Genomic DNA, 17,998 nt, shown 5'->3' with positions numbered 1-17,998 from the left:
TAGCACATGCAAAGGCACGTCCAGGAAGCCATAGATAACTGGTAAGAGCAGGATATAGTAGGATCAAAAGCATAGAGAAAATGGAGAAAGATCAAGAGGGGTTGGAAGGCCCTTGTAACCCATTTTAAGGAGTCTGAACCTTCTTTAAGCAATTGGCAGCCCCAGAAGTGTCACCTCTACACTTTAGTAAGATGCATACTTTAGACTAACAGATGGGCAGGGACTGAGATCATCACCTGGGAGACAGGTGGGAGACTATGACAATAGTCTAGAGAGAGGTGATGAAGGTTTGATCTAGGGCAGAAGCCATGAAAATAGAAAGAAACTGACAGCTTCCAAAGAAGTTAGGGAGGTAGAATTGCCAGTCCCTAGTTACCAATTGAATGTGGAAGTGAGAAGTCTAAAATTGATCCAAAGGCTTTGGCTTATATGATTGAGTGAAAAGTGGTATCATCAACTAAGATAGGAAATTGAGGAGGAAAAAAACAGTTTAGAGGGGAAAATAATAAGCTGAGTTTGGGGCATGTTCAGTATAAGGTCTGGTGACATTGAGGTGGAACATTTCAGAAGGCAGTTGGCTCTGTAGATGTAAAACACAGAAAAAAGGCTTGGGCTGAAAATGCCAACTAAAGAGCTGTCTACTGATAGAAGGAAAAACCATGTGGGTTGGGGGAGAATGGGGTCATACGGAAAGTACATGGAGGTGAAGAGCTATGCCAAGCTTTCTGTCACACCCCGTGTCTAGTTCAATTCACTGTATATTCTGAATTCATTTCCCACCACCTCCATCATCACCACCTTACTCTAAGCCTCCATCATCTCTCACTTGGACCATTCAGTAACCTATTAATTGGTTTCCTTGCTTCTATTTTTGCTTCCTTACAGCCTATTTTCTATACAAAAGCCAAACTGACTTTTATAAAATTAAGTAAATTAAGTCATACCACTTCACTGCTCCAATGGCTTCCCTTGACACACAGACTACAACCTAAAATCCCTTGAGACCCACATGATCTGACCTTCACCTTTACCTTCCTCTCGGAACTCACCTCCCACCTCTAACTCTTGCTCCCTCTGCTCCTGCCAGAGAGTTTCTATCTTTTTAGCATGCCAAGCTTATTCCTGCCCCAGGGCCTTTGTACTTGCTCTCTTCTTGGCCTGGAATGTTCTTGCCCCAGATCTTAATATGATTTTGAGTTTCTGCACAAATTTTCAAGTCTGAATTTTATGTCTTTGAAGAGGCAGCCTCTGACCTCAAGAAACAAGCAAGCCTAGTTGTTTTATTGGCTGCGTTGGATAATGTCAATATCTCAGGGTTTTGTGGGCCTTCCTGGTTATACGTGGCTACATGCTAGAAATTCCATTTAGAAATAATTTGCAGCTCAGAGTGATAGGGTTTTCCTCTTGATTCTGCCAGGTACCTGGCACTGCTTCTTGTCTAGAACCACTTTAACCCAAGTTCTAGGCTCAAGGTCTCTTGTACTATCCAGGTGACTTGAATCAAGTTGCAAGTCTGAGTAAGAACTGGTTTATTTCTGCTTCACATTTACCCAGAAGATGCAGCTCCTAAGGGGCCCCAGCTTCAAGTACAGAGTCCCCATCTTCTTCCTGGGCTTTGAGGTTCATTCCCCTTGACTTATGACGTCAAAAGACAGCTTGGTTTTGCAGATATTTATTCCAATTCATGGACGTCCGCATGGCAACAGTGGCTTTAAGTGATGGTCCTCCCCTTCTCCTAGTTTTTGCCTGGCAATTCCTCACCACTTTAATAACTATTTTTTCACATTATTTAAATTTTTTCTAGGTATTTTAGTTGATCTCAGAGGGAACATCAGTATAAATGTCCTGGGCTGATATTAAAAGCAGGAGTTGGCCGGGCGCAGTGGCTCACGCCTGTAATCCCAGCACTTTGGGAGGTCGAGGTGGGTGGATCATAAGGTCAGGCATTTGAGAACGGCCTGGCCAACATAGCGAAACCCTGTCTCTACTAAAAATACAAAAAAATTAGCTGGGCATGGTGGCGGGCACCTGTAATCCCAGCTACTGGGGAGGCTGAGGCAGGAGAATCACTTGAACCTGGGAGGCAGAGGTTGCAGTGAGCCGAGATCACACCACTACACTCCAGCCTGGGCGACAGTGCGAGACTCTGTCTCAAAAAAAAAAAAAAATAAAACAAGACTCCTTCTTCCCTCTTCTCTCAGATCTTCCATGATTCTTTCTTTCATTCAGATCTCTGTGCAAGTAGTATTTCTTCAGAGATGCCATTCTGACCACCCCATCAAAAATAGCCACCTCCAAAATTAGCCAGGTGTGGTGGTGTCAGCATAGCACAGTTACTTGGGAAGCTAAGGCAGGAGGATCACTTGAGTCCAGGAGTTCTAGGCTGCAGTGAACTACGATTGTACCACTGCATTCCAGCCTGGGCGGCAAAGCAAGACCCTAGCTTTAAAAAAACAAAAACAAAAAAAACCCCAGCCACCTCCATTCCTATGATCTCTGCTTCATTTTTCTTCATAGCATTTATCACATCTGCAAATGATTGCATATTTGTCTGCTTACTTGTTTATTGTCTTTCCAACTAGAACGTATTCATTCAACAAATATTTGTTGATCACATCCTATGTGCTAGGCATTATTCTAGGCATTGGACCAACACCAGAGAACAAGACAGACCAGATTCCAGCCCACAGACAGCTTACATACCCAGGGGAAGATGACCATAAACAGAGAAACTAATAAAGAATGTAAACTCATGAGGATAGGAAACTTGCCTGCTTTCTTTACCACCCCAGGGCATAGAACAGTGCTATATGTTAACTGAATTTATTAAGCTTTTGTCCTGACGTTATTTTTCAGTATTATTGAATCCCTGGTATTTTGACTGTATTGTTGGTATACTGCTTTTTCCCTCTGAAATATGTAGCATTTCAAGCATGTTAAGGGTTAAACACACTTGCATGTCAGCCTGGAAATATAATCACCATTTATTATATTACTGTTATGGGAAAATATGTTCTGAGTTCCAAATAATTAACTTCCAAGTGAACTTTTGGAAACTGACAGCCAAATTCATATATATTTGGGTGAGATTTGCCAATGTCTTTGCACTCTTTTACAGGGAGAGGCAACATGCCAGCCAGATCAGGCCAGACAGCCCTGGCGACTAGTGGGGTAACAGATGTCTCAGAAAAAACATCCCATCTACAAGGCTCCATTCTGCTGTAATATCATGGTTGTTTGGATTCTTAGAATCTCAGATATATGGTGACACACTTTTCCTTGTGCAAGGACAGACGCTCTGTGATCAAACTAACATCTTTTCATTGGAGAGGCCAAGTCAAATTCTTAGAGTCCTCCACCTGGACCACAGCATGGTTGAAAGTGGCAGCCAGCCCAGGCAGACAGCCCAGCTGCCCTGGGACGTTGAGAGAGAAAGATTGGGGGTCAGCCAATCTAATTCAGAAAAGCTACTCCAACGTGACAAGCGTCATGGCTTTCAGCCTACCCACAGGTTTGGGTTCTTTAAATTCTTTAGCAAAGGGAGGGAGGCCATACAGGGAAGAGCATGGGCCAAGAGCCAGAGCTGGATGTAAGGAGATGCAGATGCAAGGCTATTGAGTTAAGAAAAAAATCAGGATTTGCTGAGATTTTGGAAAAGACGAATGGAGAGTCATTAAATGCTCAAGGTTTGGGGCTGGGAAAGATCGGGAGCCTGTTGACCGTGGTGAGAACTAAGTTCAGAATGGAATACTGGTAGAAGAGATGAGCTCCTCTGATTCTTTTGATCTGGGGTCAAGCTATGCAGTTGAGGGAATTCTCAATCCCAATCAAAAATGGACTTGGACAGAGGGGATGGGATCATGAATCTGTGAAAATCCATCATAAAATTTTGACCTGAAAGATCCCTTTTAAAAGTCTTCTTAGACTAGTCTCAGACATATGTTCAGAAATAGGATCTTCTAAATGGGGCCTGGGAATCTGCACTTTAAATGCTTTGTGAGTAACTCATGCACAGCCAGTTTGGGACTTTCTCACTAGTCTAATCAACCTCTTTTCTTTTCTTTTTTTTCGAGACAGAGTTTCGCTCTTGTCACCCAGGCTGGAGTACAATGGCGCAATCTCGGCTCACTGCAACCTCCGCCTCCTGGGTTCAAGCGATTTTCCTGCCTCAGCCTCCCAAGTAGCTGGGATTGCAGGTGCCTGCCACCATGCTCAGCTAATTTTTTGTATTTTTAGTAGAGACAGGGTTTCACCATGTTGGCCAGGCTGGTCTCGAACTCCTGACCTCAGGTGATCCACCCGCCTCAGCCTCCCAAAGTGCTGGAATTACCGGCATGAGCCACCGTGCCTGGTCATCATCCTCATTTTACAGAAGAAACTTAGGTCCAGAGAGGTCAAAACACAGCATAAGCAGCAACTGGAAGCTAGAATTTCTGACTCCTGGTTTCCTCTCCTTAGACCATGTAAAGTACATGATTAGTGAAGAGAATAGCTAATGAACACTGAGAACTAAATACCAGGCATTTTGCTAAGTTCTTTCCATATGTCAACTTATTTAATCCTTCCAGCCTCCCTTCGAGGGCAGGTGGTATTTGTTATCCCCTTTTACAAATGAGGAACCCAGAGTAAGAGAGGTTAAGTAACTTGACTGGGGAGTTAGGTGTCAATAAGTGCAGATCTGGGACACAAGCCCAGGCGTTCTTCTTCAGATTCGCTCTTCGCCGTCATCCAAGAAAATAAGCTAACACAGCACAGGGGTTTTGTGAGGAAAGAAGAACGTTAGCTGAATACAATCTTATTTCCCCCTGTGGGATAAAGTCATCTTCGAAGCTCCATCGGGGGCGGGGGCGCAAATCCAGACCCTTCTCTAACGCTAGATGGCGCATCTCAGGTTCTGAACACCCACCTGTGGATAAAGCCTTTGGGGACTACCCACTGGCTACCCTGATCTCAAGATATCATAGTCAATTCTCTCTCTCTCTCTCTCTCTCTTTTTTTAAAGACAGATGGTGGGGGCTGGGCGCTGTGGCTCACACCTGTAATCCCAGCACTTTGGGAGGCCGAGGTGGGTGGATCACCTGAGGTCAGGAGTTCGAGACCAGCCTGACCAACACGGTGAAACCCCATCTCTACTAAAAATACAAAAAAAAATTAGCCAGGCATGGTGGTGAGTGCCTGTAATCCCAGCTATTCAGGAGGCTGAGGCAGGAGAATCACTTGAACCCGGGAGGTGGAGATTGCAGTGAGCCGAGATTGCACCACTGGACTCCAGTCTGGGTGACAGAGTGAGACTCCGTCTCAAAAAAAAAAAAAAAAAAGACAGATGGTGTCCTGTGTAAATTATTCCTAGTCTTCGGCTCTGGGGATCCTTGCCTGTGTAGGAGGGTAATCACCCAGAAGAAAGCTGGCTCTCGGGAGAATTGTTGAGTGGGACACTTTTAGCTCCAACTTGGCTGTTTTGTGAGGTAGGGAGGTTTGCTCTTTTCATTTGGCATTTTGAAGTACATTAAGTACAATTAACATCAGTTGCTTGTGAGTACACAGTATCAGCCTATCCTTAGACAAAATGCCTTGGCTTCAATCTTCTTTCAAGTGATGAAGGATAACTTGGCTAACACCCTTCATTTTTTTCCCCTTAAAACATGTAACTCTATGCCATTTGTGGTTTTATATTAGCCTTTTGGTTATAGCTATTGGTAGGTCTAGAAACCTCAAACTGATATAACCACTTGGCCATATCTTATCCACGAAAAAATTTTGTGTTGGCCCCCCCAAAGTGTTTAATTAGTTAATTAATTAGTTAATTTGTTTGCCCTCTCAACCCAGCTTTTCCTCACTCTAGGAAGAACTAGAAAGAGAGGGATTAATTTATTTTTGAAACACTAGTTTCCAATGAGCAAAATTAAGAATAATTTTTTTTTAATGTGGATTTCCTGATTCTCTTAAAAAGTAGGAAAATCAGGCAACACCACACCTTCCTTCCCAGCAGCAACACTTTGCTGAAGCTGTGCGTGCTCTTTCAGGCTGTGCTCTGGGTGCACAGGCCCCAGTACTCCCTGGCACTGTGCTTCAGCTCGGCTTCTGCAGGCTTCTGCATTTAACTCCCTGATGGACAAGATCAAGGAGTCTTCCAAAATGTCCAAAATAAACAACTGATTCCAGGCCGGTGCAGTAGAGGTTTCAAAATTCAAATGCAGAATGTTTTGAAGCAAGCTGGAATGTTCAGCCCGGGCACCAGACATTGCTGACTGGGGACTTCGGTGCACTCCTCTCCTTTGACATCTCTCCTTCCCTTAGGACTCTCTCTTTCTCTCTCTCTCTCTCTCTTTCTTTCTTTCTTTCTCTCTCTCTTTCTTTCTTTTCTTTCTTTCTCCTTCCTTCCTTCCTTCCTTCCTTCCTTCCTTCCTTCCTTCCTTCCTTCCTTCCTTCTCTCCCTCCCTCCCTTCCTTCCTTCCTTTCTTTCTCTCTGTCTTTCTTTCTGACAGAGTTTCGCTCTTGTTGCCCAGGCTGGAGCTTGTTGCCCAGGCTGGAGTGCAATGGCACGATCTTGGCTCACTGCAACCTCTTCCTCCCGGGTTCAAGAGACTCTCCTGCCTCAGCCTCCTGAGTAGCTGGGATTACAGGCATGCACCACCATGGCCGGCTAATTTTTTGTATTTTTAGTACAGACAGGGTTTCTCTATGTTGGTCAGGCTGGTCTTGAACTCCCAATCTCAGGTGATCTGCCCACCTCAGCTACCCAAAGTGCTGGGATTATAGGGGTGAGCCACTGTACCCAGCCTCCAATTCACTTCTCTGCCTGCTGATGAACTCCTGAAGGGGCCACCATCACATCACTGTTCAGGACTCATTTAATCGTTTCTATGTCTGGAGGGCAGAGGCATTCTTTTAAATTATACTTTTGTCTCCCCATCCAACACTTTGCACAGTTCTTTGCATATCGTAGATGTGGAAATTAGAAAGAATGCCATGCTGGGAATCAGCCATAACACATCTGGGTGGTGATGGAAGTCAAGGGTTGAAAGATCATCCAGAAGGATGCAAGGGGCCAAGTAGTATGAAGAGGGGCAGGTTGAGATTGAAAGAACGAGTAATAGAGAAGGGATAATTGAGTATAGGGGTTCAAGGATGAAGGCCTAGGCAGAGGCCTCAGAAAGTACAGTCTTGCACCTTGATGGGGGTACACCTTGGTGGGGGTCAGAGAGTTCCAAAGCAGGCTGAGATGCCCCTTCTGGAAGATTCCTTGACTCTTCTCTTTCTCTCCCCCTCCATATTCAGTTCTTCAGAGAATTTCATTGACTCTGCTTTCTAAATGCTTTCAGACTCCACCCATTTCCACAACCTGCATCAGCACCACCCTAGTTTAAGCTGTGATCATCTCTCACCTGCGCAATGGAAAGAACCTCCCATCCAGTGTCCCTTGTCCACCCCTACCATCTGATGCTCTATTCTTACCCAGCAGCCAGAGTGAGCCAAGCTCCTCAGGTTAGAAGGTCCTACTAGATTTGGCCTCTTTGACCTCTCTGATCACATTCCTCCTTCTCCTTCTGTTTTATGCCATTTCAGACACACTAACACACCTTTAATTTTCTGAACATGTTATGGGGCTTTGCACTTGCTGTTCCCTGCACTTGGAATCTTCTTACTCCAGAAATCTCCAGCGCTCACACACTCCCTGTAATCAGGTCTCGCTCAAATGTCACTTCCTCTGAGGGGTCTTTTCTGACCACCTCACCTAGCAAAGAGTCCTTCTTCCCACTGGAACCCCCAAACATACACACTATTTCTTTTCCTTTCTGTTTTTTATTTGTTTGTTTGTTTGTTTTGGAGATACTCTCGCTCTGTTGCCCAGGCTGGACTGCAGTGGTGTGATCTCAGCTCGTTGCAACCTCTGCCTCCCAGGTTCAAGCGATTCTCATGCCTCAGCCTCCCAAGTAGCTGGGACCACAAGTGTGCACCACCACGGCTGGCTAATTTTTGTATTTTTTGTAGAGACAGGGTTTCGCCATGTTGGCCAGGCTGGTCTCGAACTCCTGACATCAAGTGATCCCCCTGCCTTGGCCTCCCAAGGTGCTGGGATTATAGGCATGAGCCACTGTGCCCGCCCACACATTTCTATACTCCACTTTTCTTCAGAACACGTTACATTATATTATATACTTGTTTCATTGTCTGTGTTTCCCACCAGAATGTAAGCTTCATGAGAGCAGAGACTTTTCTTAACACGTAGTAGGTGCTCAATAAATAAATGAAGGAGTCTAGCAAATGGGAACTGAGAGCTGCCAGAGTCACGGGTGTCTCTGGGAAAGAGGTAATAATTAACACACAAGGAAAGATTCCTGGTTGGGCACAGTAGCTCATGCCTGTAATCTCTGCACTTTGGGAGGCTGAGGCGGGCAGATCACCAGGTCAGGAGTTCAACACCAGGCTGCCCAACATGGTGAAACACTGTCTCTACTAAAAGTACAAAAATTATCCGGGTGTGGTGGTGCACGCCTGTAGTCCCAGTGACTCAGGAGGCTGAGGCAGGAGAATCACTTGAACCCGGGAGGTGGAGGTTGCAGTGAGACAAGATTACACCACTGCATTCCAGCCTGGGTCACAGAGTGAGAACCTGTCTCTTAAAATAAAATGAAAAATAAAACGTATATCTGATAACCATAGTCCCTTACTCAACACCTTCAGTGGCTTCCCAATGGTCCCAACCCCTTAACACACCATACAATGCCCTCTAGGTTCTGGCACTCGATTTCTTCTCAGCTCATTTCTTGTCACTTCTCTCCTACAGTCAAGTTTGGGCCCAGCAGACTGTCCTGGTCCTCTAACTGGGCTCCTTTCTGGGCCTGCAGAGGTGCTGTTTCTTCAGTCTGCGATTCCTTACCTCCCCTCTGTCTCTTCCTCTGCTGCTGCCTTCTGTTCTTTGGCATTCAACCGAGTTTTCCTTTCCTCTGAGAAGCCTGGGACCTACCCCGACCAAAGCTCCCTCCTCCTTGCCCCTCCCCCAATAACACAGGGTTGGGGTCTCTGCATTTGCTTCCTCAACACTGTACTTTTCTTGTCATGTCTATTTTATGGTCTGTGTCCCCACTAGACTGCAAGTTGCATGAGGGCAGGGCGGTCTATTCTGCTTTGGTCGCCTCGTGACGGTGTCTACCCAGCAAGTTGTGTGTGTTGGGTAAGTAGTGAGAAAACGAAAAAGCACTTGCTTTACAGGGCGGTTGGTCATAAAATAATAATAGCTTATATTTACTGACCACTTGTGATGTATCAGGCACCATTCTAAATGCTTTACAAGTATGTCACAGATTTCTCCCATAACCCTCTTAAGTAAGGGTTATTTCCTCCACATAGCAGATGGGGAAATTGAGGCACAGAGAGGTTAAGTAACTTGCCAAGGGCCACAGCGAGGAAGTGGAGGAACCGGCGTTAGAACCCAGGCTGTTTCCAGAGTCCAAATTCTATCCAAGAGTGAAGTGCAATATGGGGTTCCACTTCGTGAACAGATTCAAGTCTCCAAAGGGCTTTGTTTTTGTTTCCAGGAGGAAGGACGAGCTTCTGTGCCGCCGGCTTCCCAGGTTATGGGTGGCCAGCTGGGCTTTGGGAAGGGCCTGTACATCTCGCCGGCGGCCCCGGAGTCTGGGTGTGAAGCCCTGATTAACTTGCCGGGCTGCTCGGCCCACACGCCAGCCCTGCCCAGGTCCTCCGGTGCCCCGGGCCACCCTCATGCCCCCGCCAGGCCCGGGGCCGGGACTCGCGTCTCCAGGGGCGGGGCCGGGGGCGGGGCCGGGCCTCTCTTCGAGGCCGCCGCCCTGGCCCCGCGCTCGCCTCGCCGAGTGCGGCGGGCCGGGCTGGAGCTGGAGGGGCGGGGACTCGGGAGGGGCCGCAGCGCGGCTGCTGGTGCCGTTGCGGGAGAAGAGGAAGCGGCGCGTCCCCTGAGGCGTGCGCCTGGATGGACTGAAGGACGGTCCGACGCGCGCGGAGGGAGAGGGCCAGGGGCGAGGTCAGGCTCGGCGGGGGCGCGGGCGGCGCCCGGAGGGGGCCCCGGGGAGGGAGGCGGGGAGGCGTGGAGCGGGGAGCGGGGAGCGGGGAGTGGGGAGCGGGCCCGCGCCGGCTGAGCTCCGGGTCGGGCCCGAGACCCCTCCCCTGGCTGGGCGGGCGCGCTGCGAGCGCGCTCCGGCAGCTGAAAGCGGAGCTCCGGACTCCCTTCTTCCCCGGTTTCTTTTCTTTCCAATCAGCGAGATATAAACACCCTGCAAGGTAAAACAATAGCGGGGCCACCTGGGACGCGTCGCGCGCAGAGCTCCCACGGTTGGGGCGGGGGCCGGGAGTCGCGGCCCCACCGCGGAGCCCCTTCCCGATTTGCCCTGGCGGAGGGTGGGGCTACCTGCGGCGCCCGGGCTCGGTAGGAGGTGACGGGAATTCCCAGGAGTGAAGCATTTGGTGGAAGTATTTCAGGAACAATCGGGCTTCCCACTGTTGCCCTGCTCTGGGCAGGGAAACTGAGGCGGAGGGAAAGACAGAGACTTGCCCAAGGTCAGAATGCAGAGGTTGACTGTCCTGGTCCAGGAACCGGACCCAGGTGTCCGGACCAGCTCAGCGCTCAGCCCCAGTGGGTTTTGCAGCTTTGCCTTTGATAAAAATCTCTGTTGTGTTTGTTTTAGAAATCTGCTCGCGCTGGGGTACCGCTTCAGGGCTGCCGAACGCCAACTTGCTTCGTGTGCCCTAGGCAGGCGTGGGGCAGGTGGCGCCTCCGTGACCTACCACCATGGATGGAAACGGACTTTTTGGTGAAGAAACCCAAACGGTTGATGCCAGGCAGGGTGATTTGGCCGTCAAAGGTTTTGACGAAACCTGCCCTGTTCTCTCTGGGGAATCCGAATGAGGGAGATCACAGACACCTTCACTGAGAAGCCAAGGACATTTCTGTATAATCAGTGGATGAAAGGATTTTCTCAGACCCTTTTTTCCGTGCTTCTGGAGGATTAATCCACTACAGTCTGCAATTTCAGTGGAAACTGCAAGGCACACGATGTGGCAGGAGCCGGGAGCGACTTCCGAATTGTTGTGGACCCTTCCTGTAGCATAGGGGAGTTTTCACACTTGCCTCCACTCCTCCCCTTCCCCCCAACTCCCTCCTTCTGATCTCTTCTTTTTAATCTGTTCCCATTTTCCGAGTTAAGTTCTATTTCCAAAACTGTTCTCTGGAGCTATAAGTGGATTGCCAGAAATGAGAGATTAGGAGCTGGGAGAAGAGGAAGCGCCTTGTGTTGTGTCTCCTGGAGGCTGCCGACATGAAGTGCTTTTTCCCGGTGCTGAGCTGTCTGGCTGTGCTGGGTAAGTGGCTCTGCTTATCAGTGCAATCGATGTGAAAGTTTAACCTGCTCTTGGTTCCTGTAATTTCTCGTGGTTCTTTTTCATCAACACTAGGATTTGGGGGACACCAGGAGGCGGTCGGTGTGTGTCACAGGTTGGAGTAGAGTACGAAGAGGCCCGTTTCTAACCCAAGAGCAACGGTGGAATATCATTTGTTATCTATAAGAAGGAACATTTGCTGTTCTTAAAGTGTCTGTCTTGGCCCCTGGGGTGAGGTCCTGCATCTGCACATCTGTGGTTTAGGGACTTCACATGGCTGGTGGGCTGCTGTCTTGTAGCATGTCAAACATGGATGCTCTGGTGTTTTCACTTCTTTGTTGGGCTGCATTGATTCCTAATTGGGAGTGGGAACATCATTCCCCTCTGTCTCGAAAGTTGGTTTGGGTGATAATGATGGTGCCTTTTTTGAGGTGGAAATGGGAGTAAGTGGGATGGGGGTTGAAGGGATGCTTTGCCTACCTGAGTGGTCTGAAGGCTAAAAATGTGAGGGCACTAGTCCTGTGTCTCCTCACCAAGGAAGCTTAGATCGTAGTTCTGGGAGAAGGAGAGCCTGAAGAAAAGGAAGCTGCCTGGTAGGGGAGATTTTAGGATTGGCTTTTGTGCTCCCACAAATCAGAATGCCTAGAGTGGGAAGAAGAAACTATGGCCCTGAGAGGTGAACCTTTGACACCCCTCTTAAGGTGCAGATGCAGGACCTTCACCCCAGTGAAGAGGCCCCTCTGCTCAACAATTGCCTATTCTTTTTATGCCATTGAGCACTGTCTTCAGCGTGCTGTCTTAGAACACATCTCAGGTCTAGGATAAACTTCATTGCCAGGATTTGGTGCCATTCTCTTTCCCCATCTCAGACCTCATACATGAGCACACCCCCTGCCCTCTCTGTAAGGCTCGGTCCTCTGCATTCAGAAGGGATTATGATTGTTGCCTACAGGGTTCACGTCTCCAAATCTAGGTGTCTTGCACGTAGGGAACTTAGGGTGATCTGTTGGCAGTGGAGATTGCTTCCATGCATTGTCTACACCCTTGCAGTAGGTAACAGGTGTGTGGGAAGAGAATGGACTTTAGAATTAGAGGACCTGAGTTCCTATCCCAGCTTCACCATGATTGACATCTGAATGTCAATAAAACAGAAACAATAAAACAAGGGAAGGTGTGATAACTAAAGGATATAAGGTGTCCTAAATGCCTTGACTGCCTTAAATAATGTCTGAAACTCATAATAGATTTGTGCAATCAGTGGTTCTCAAACTCTCGTGTGCATGTTGGAATCACTGGGGAAGCTTTTAAAAATTCTGATTTCAGGCAACAACCCCAGATCAGTGAAACCAAACTCGCTTAGGGAGTGGGACCCAGGTCTCAGCCTTTGAGCTATCTCAGGTAATTCCATGCATGGTTCAGTAGAGAACCAGTGGGTGAGTTCACTAGCGCCAGTGCCCTACCACCCAACGCATGCAGACACCCTGCTGGTAGTTTAGTTAGTCTTCTGTTCAGCTGTGGGCTGGGATACAGGCAGTGTCTCCATGTCACCTGTATGCTCAGGCAGAGTCAAGAAGGCAGGGAGCCCTTCATTTGCCAGTCTCTTCATATTGGATCTGTATTTGTTGTACTGTATGTGTCATTCGCTTAGTGTCTGGGTTTAAATCAGCAATTAGTGATTCATGTGGATTCAACAGGACACAAACAAGGAAAGCCCTTGGGGAGGTTTGGATGTGGGGTGGGGTGTGTGGCTAAGGCGGGAAAGAGGGCTGAGTGGCAGGGTGGGGCCCAGGGCAGGAGAAGTAACCATCAATGGGAAAACAAGGCAATGTGACATTTGTGCCTTTTGTTTCTTCTGGCTGCTCAAGTAATGTAAGGCTGCATGCTGGTCCCCCTGCTGTTCGCTCTCTGGGCCACTCTGTGGAGTGGAGCTCGGGCCCTGGCACCTGGCAGGTGCTGTCATTTTCCCTCCACCCTCATCTTCATGTGTAAACAGGTGCCATGGAGGAAAATGAGCATCAAGGTGGCTTTAAAGGGGCACAGTGGCAGACATCCAGATGCAGGCTGAAGTGGGAAGGTTTGGAACTGTAGGCATGCATGTGGATCTCTGCCTGATTTGGAGCCCCACTGGTGGAACCTCATCTTTCTCTTCACCTGATGGCTCTCAGTATGGCAGGAAGGAGGCCTGGCTACTACTTTACTAATCTGGGAGAGGTAGAAGGCGTTTGGGGAGGGAGCAAAACCCATGTTGGGGTCTTATTTCCTGCTTGTCTTCTGATGTGGTCTGGTTCATGTGTCAGCATTCTTGCTGCATAATGTGAATTAATGTGTAGTATGAATTTAAAACAGCGAAGAATCCCAAGGTTTTAAGCCCATATAGGTCACATGCCTGGAATAAAATTTTGTTTAAAAAAGTTGGATAAGGCTAAGTGCTCTGAAAGTGAGACCGATGCAGGTACCAGCCTCTAGAAATGGCAATTTTAGTTAGAAAACCCTGGACAGTATGTGAGGGGTATACAGGGTAAATCTCGGAGACGCTTTCATCTCCCTCAACATGACAGACCTGTGCTTTTCTGCACCTGTCCTTTGCCAGTGTCTGGGATTGGAATCAGATTCCTCTTTTCTGTCTGTTGGGATACTGATTCCTGCTTATGTCTTTGTCCTACCCTTTGTCTTTGTACCTACCCCCTTGACCTCTGTGTGTTGTTTCCTTCTGTCCTAACCCTAGGTGCCTCACCCAATAAGGGTTGTGGTGGCAGTGCATGGCTCTGCCACCACAACCCTTGGTTCCAATTACAAAGCCATTTAAGCCTGGCTCTGGTTGAACCATGAGGGTAGTAAAGTCTCTATTTGAGGATAGATGTGGCCAGAGGGGCAGAAGATTAGAGAGAGAATAGAGGCTGGTACAGTGGTAGGAAGGGAAGGGTGACTGGAAAAGTGCCTCTGTCTGGGAGCAGCCTGCATGAGTGACAGTGACATGGGAAGATGACAGCAATGTGGGAAAGAGAGCATAGGATTTGTGTCTGTAAGAACAGGAAGGAAATTCTCAGGAAAGATGAATATAAGCTTTAGACACATACAGCACATTTTGATTTTGTGTAGCCAGGAAGAGTTATATACCTCCCAGACCAGTGCTGATGTTGCAAACAAGATTAAATAGCTTTAAAAGTGTTAGCAATGAAAAATGTAGGAGATTGGGACATCTGAGAACCTGTAGATGGCAAATGATCATTTGTGTTCTGCTCCAGAGGGAGAGAAGTTCATTTGTAGAGTTTGGGAAGTCTCTTCTTTGAATACGGTAAGGCTGAGGAAGCCATCTCTTACTTCCCAGTTAGTTAGAAAAGGCTTCTGAAAGGGATTGAAAGAAACTTTGAAGTACTATGGGTGTGACCTCAGAGGCAGGGCTGGAGTGATCAAAGGCAGAGGAGAAAGAGGAGGCAGAGAAAAGTGAGATGGTTTGGAGCAATCAGGAGAAGGGTTCTGAAAGAAGGGGATGAGGATTGTGATTTATGGATGAACAAACACCACTGTCCTAATAGTTGTCCCAGAGGTAGTGCACTTCCCTTTCCTGGGGACCATTTGACAAGGGTGCAGGAGAAGGAAATTCTTGTCAGGAGGACTTGGCCTACTAGGATGCCTTTCAGCTGTGAGAATCATTGAGCTACCTCCAGGTACCCAGGGCTGTGTTAAGATGTTGCCATCTTCTACGGTTTTCATGGCAGCAAGACTGCTGGTACTTCCATAATGGCAGTAATACCAGCTCTCCTAACTCTAGCCCTTACTGTGACCCAACTATATCAATCAGTCTTCAAAACAACCCTGTAAGATAGATACCTTGCATTATCACATTTTTATAGATGGGGAGATTGAAGCTTAGGGAGGTTAAGTAACTTGCCTAAGCTGGGCATGGTGGCTCATGCTTGTAACCGCAGCACTTTGGGAGGCTGAGGCGGGTGGATCACTTGAGGTCAGGAGTTTGAGACCAGCCTGGCCAACATGGTGAAACACCGTCTGTACTAAAAATACAAAAATTAGCCGAGCATGGTGGCACATTCCTGTAATCCCAGCTACTCGGGAGGCTGAGGCAGGAGAATCGCTTGAACCCAGGAGGCAGAGGTTGCAGTGAGCCGAGATCGCGCCGTTGCACTCCAGCCTGGGCAATGAGCAAAACTCTGTCTCAAAAAAAAAAAAAGAGTCACTTGCCTAAGATAGATTGCTGACAGTGTTAGGGCTCCAAGCTCCTGCTGTCTTGCTCCATGTGCATGCTCTCTATTCCCAAGATGACTTCATGGTCCAAGATGACTCTTCTAGCCGCAGCCATCAGGAAGGAAGAAAAGGCTAGTGAAGGGTAGGACCTCTTAATGTAAGGATACTTCCTGGAAGTTATATACATCACTTCCACTAACATTCTCATTGGCTAGAACCTAGTCATGTGACCATATTTAGCTGCAAAGAAGGCTGGAAAATATGCTTATCCTGAGGGTCCATGTGTCCTGAGAAAAACTTGGGATTCTATGACTGTAGGGAAAGGAGAGAACAGATTTTGGGGGACAGCTGCCCATCTCTGCCATAGTCACAAAGCTAAAAAGTGGCAGAGTAGGGTTTTGAAGCCAGGACCATTTGGTTCCAAATCCTGTGTTCTTACATCTAATAAGCTATTCCGTTTGACTCTGAAGCCGAGCCTCTGGCTTCTAAGAAGGCTTGTTAGGAAGGCATGAGTTAGATGAACCAACGTTTGTTTCATAGGAAGCAACCTAAATCAGCATATAATTAAACACTACATTTTGTGGTTTTATCAGTGAGTATTAAAGTGTTTATAGAGTGCTTATGTGCCAGTCACTGTGCTAAACACTTTACATAGCATGACCTTCTGTATAAAATTCTTGAAGACCATCTGTCATGTTCATTACTGTAGTCCCAGAACTCAGCCTTGTGCCATGCAAAGTAAGCAGGTGTTCAGTTATTTTATTTTTTTTGAGATGGAGTCTCACACTGTTGCTCAGGCTGGAGTGCAGTGGCACGATCTTGGCTCACCGTAACCTCCGCCTGCTGGGTTCACGCGATTCTCCTGCCTCAGCCTCCCGAGTAGCTGGGATTACAGGCACACACCACCACACCCGGCTAATTTTTTTGTATTTTTAGTAGAGATGGGCCTTCACTATGTTGGCCACACTGGTCTCAAACTCCTGACCTCGTGATCCGCCTGCCTTGGCCTCCCAAAATGCTGAAATTACAGGCGTGAGCTACCACACCTGGCCCAGTTAATTTTTTGATGAGTGAATGGTTTCACAAGGTAGGTGTTGTTTCTGTGTTGGCTTCCTTGATCAAGATAAGGAAATTCATGACACTTTTCCCTTGAAAACAATTATGTTCAAAGGAAAAGAGCTGGAATTTGGCAGAATCTGAATTTGAATTCACATTTGTCTGATTATAGAGCTTCTTAACCTTTTTTGTGTTATGGATCCTTTTGGCAGTCTGGTGAAGCCTATAGACCCCATCTGAGCATAACATTTTAAAATGCATACGTGGCCGGGTATGGTGGCTTACGCCTGTAATCCCAGCACTTTGGGAGGCCAAGGTGGGTGGATCACCTGAGGTCAGGAGTTTGAGACCAGCCTGGCCAATTAGCTGGGCGTGATGGTGTGTGCCTGTAATCCCAGCACCTCGGAAGGCTGAGGCAGGAAAATCCCTTGAACCTGGAGGTTGCCATGAGCTGAGATTGCGCCACTGCACTGCAGACTGGGCCACAGAGCAAGACTCTGTCTCAAAAAAAAAAAAAAAAAAAAAAAGAAAAGCATACATAGGCCAGGTGTGGTGGCTCACTGCTGTAATCCTAGCACTTTGGGAGGCAGAAGCAGGGAGATCACTTGAGCTCAGCAGTTCAAGACCAGCTAGGCAACATAGTGAGACCGCATCTCTATCTACAGTTTCCTGCAGAGATCGAAGTAAAGTTCAGTGTAGGTGGTTGTTGCTGGGGAAGACACTCAGGAAGAGGACATGGGCTGAGTGTTCAGAAATGGTCAGGATTTGATGGGGAGGGCATTCTACTCCCAATTAAGTCCTGATAATGCAAAGGCCTCAGCAGGCCTTTTACAGATTGGAGAAATGACTGTCAGTGGTTTTAAGGACCAGTTCAGGTGGGATGATGCTGGACACAGAAAATTGGTTTGAATTATAATGAGTTTGGGATTTAGGCTTAAAGTAAGTCCCCAGAGCCCAGGCCACTGCTGCTGAGCCCCAGCCTGGGAACTGGAGGAAGCAGTCCCAGTTGCTGACCTCTCGTGGTCCCTGGCTTTGGGTGTGCAGTGCATCCTTAGTTATGACTCCTTGATTAATATTTTTAGCTTCTGGCCGGGCATGGTGGCTCATGCCGATAATCCTAGCACTTTGGGAGGCTGAGGCAGGAGGATCACTTGAGCTCAGGAGTTTGAGACCAACCAGCCTGGGCAATATAACAAGACCTCATCTTACTAAAAATCAAAAACATTAGCTGGGCATGGTGGTACACACCTGTAGTCTCAGCTGCTTCAGAAGTTGAGGTGGGAAGAATTGGTTGAGCCCAGAAGGTTGAGGCTACAGTGAGCTGTAATTGCACTACTGCACTCTAGCCTGGGTGGCCCCCATCTCACACACACACAAAAAGAGCGAG

At 47.7% G+C, this 17,998-nt stretch overlaps 1 protein-coding gene and 1 non-coding gene across 7 annotated transcripts in view, besides 1 other annotated feature; one reads left to right on the top strand and one right to left on the bottom strand.

The window, feature by feature from the left end:
* MIR320B1 (microRNA 320b-1) lies at positions 5,801–5,872 on the bottom strand. The gene has a single exon (NR_031564.2). It is a non-coding gene; the product is annotated as a microRNA 320b-1 (primary transcript).
* Positions 9,651–10,040: a silencer, noted in NCBI's record as "silent region_1235". NCBI's record gives its function as "represses an Ori minimal core promoter by ATAC-STARR-seq in GM12878 lymphoblastoid cells {active_cell/tissue: GM12878}" and the evidence as "EXISTENCE:reporter gene assay evidence [ECO:0000049][PMID:35858748]".
* Positions 9,863–17,998, top strand: part of IGSF3 (immunoglobulin superfamily member 3) — a 93,358-nt gene continuing 85,222 nt past the window's right edge. For 3 of the 6 annotated variants that reach the window (XM_047419070.1, XM_047419042.1, XM_011541315.2), the window contains exons 1-2: positions 10,150–10,257; positions 10,662–11,334. In XM_047419070.1, the coding sequence (XP_047275026.1) occupies positions 11,292–11,334 (43 nt within the window). In that variant the 5' untranslated portion in view covers positions 10,150–10,257; positions 10,662–11,291. Of the gene's footprint in view, positions 10,001–10,149; positions 10,258–10,661; positions 11,335–17,998 lie in introns of those variants that run through there. The other 3 variants (XM_047419052.1, NM_001542.4, NM_001007237.3) reach the window with 2 other exon arrangements.

The sequence above is a fragment of the Homo sapiens genome, chromosome 1, assembly GCF_000001405.40.
Source record: "Homo sapiens chromosome 1, GRCh38.p14 Primary Assembly".
NCBI lineage: Eukaryota > Metazoa > Chordata > Mammalia > Primates > Hominidae > Homo > Homo sapiens.
Note: the sequence above shows the minus strand (reverse complement) of the source record. Positions and strands in the feature narration are given on the sequence as shown.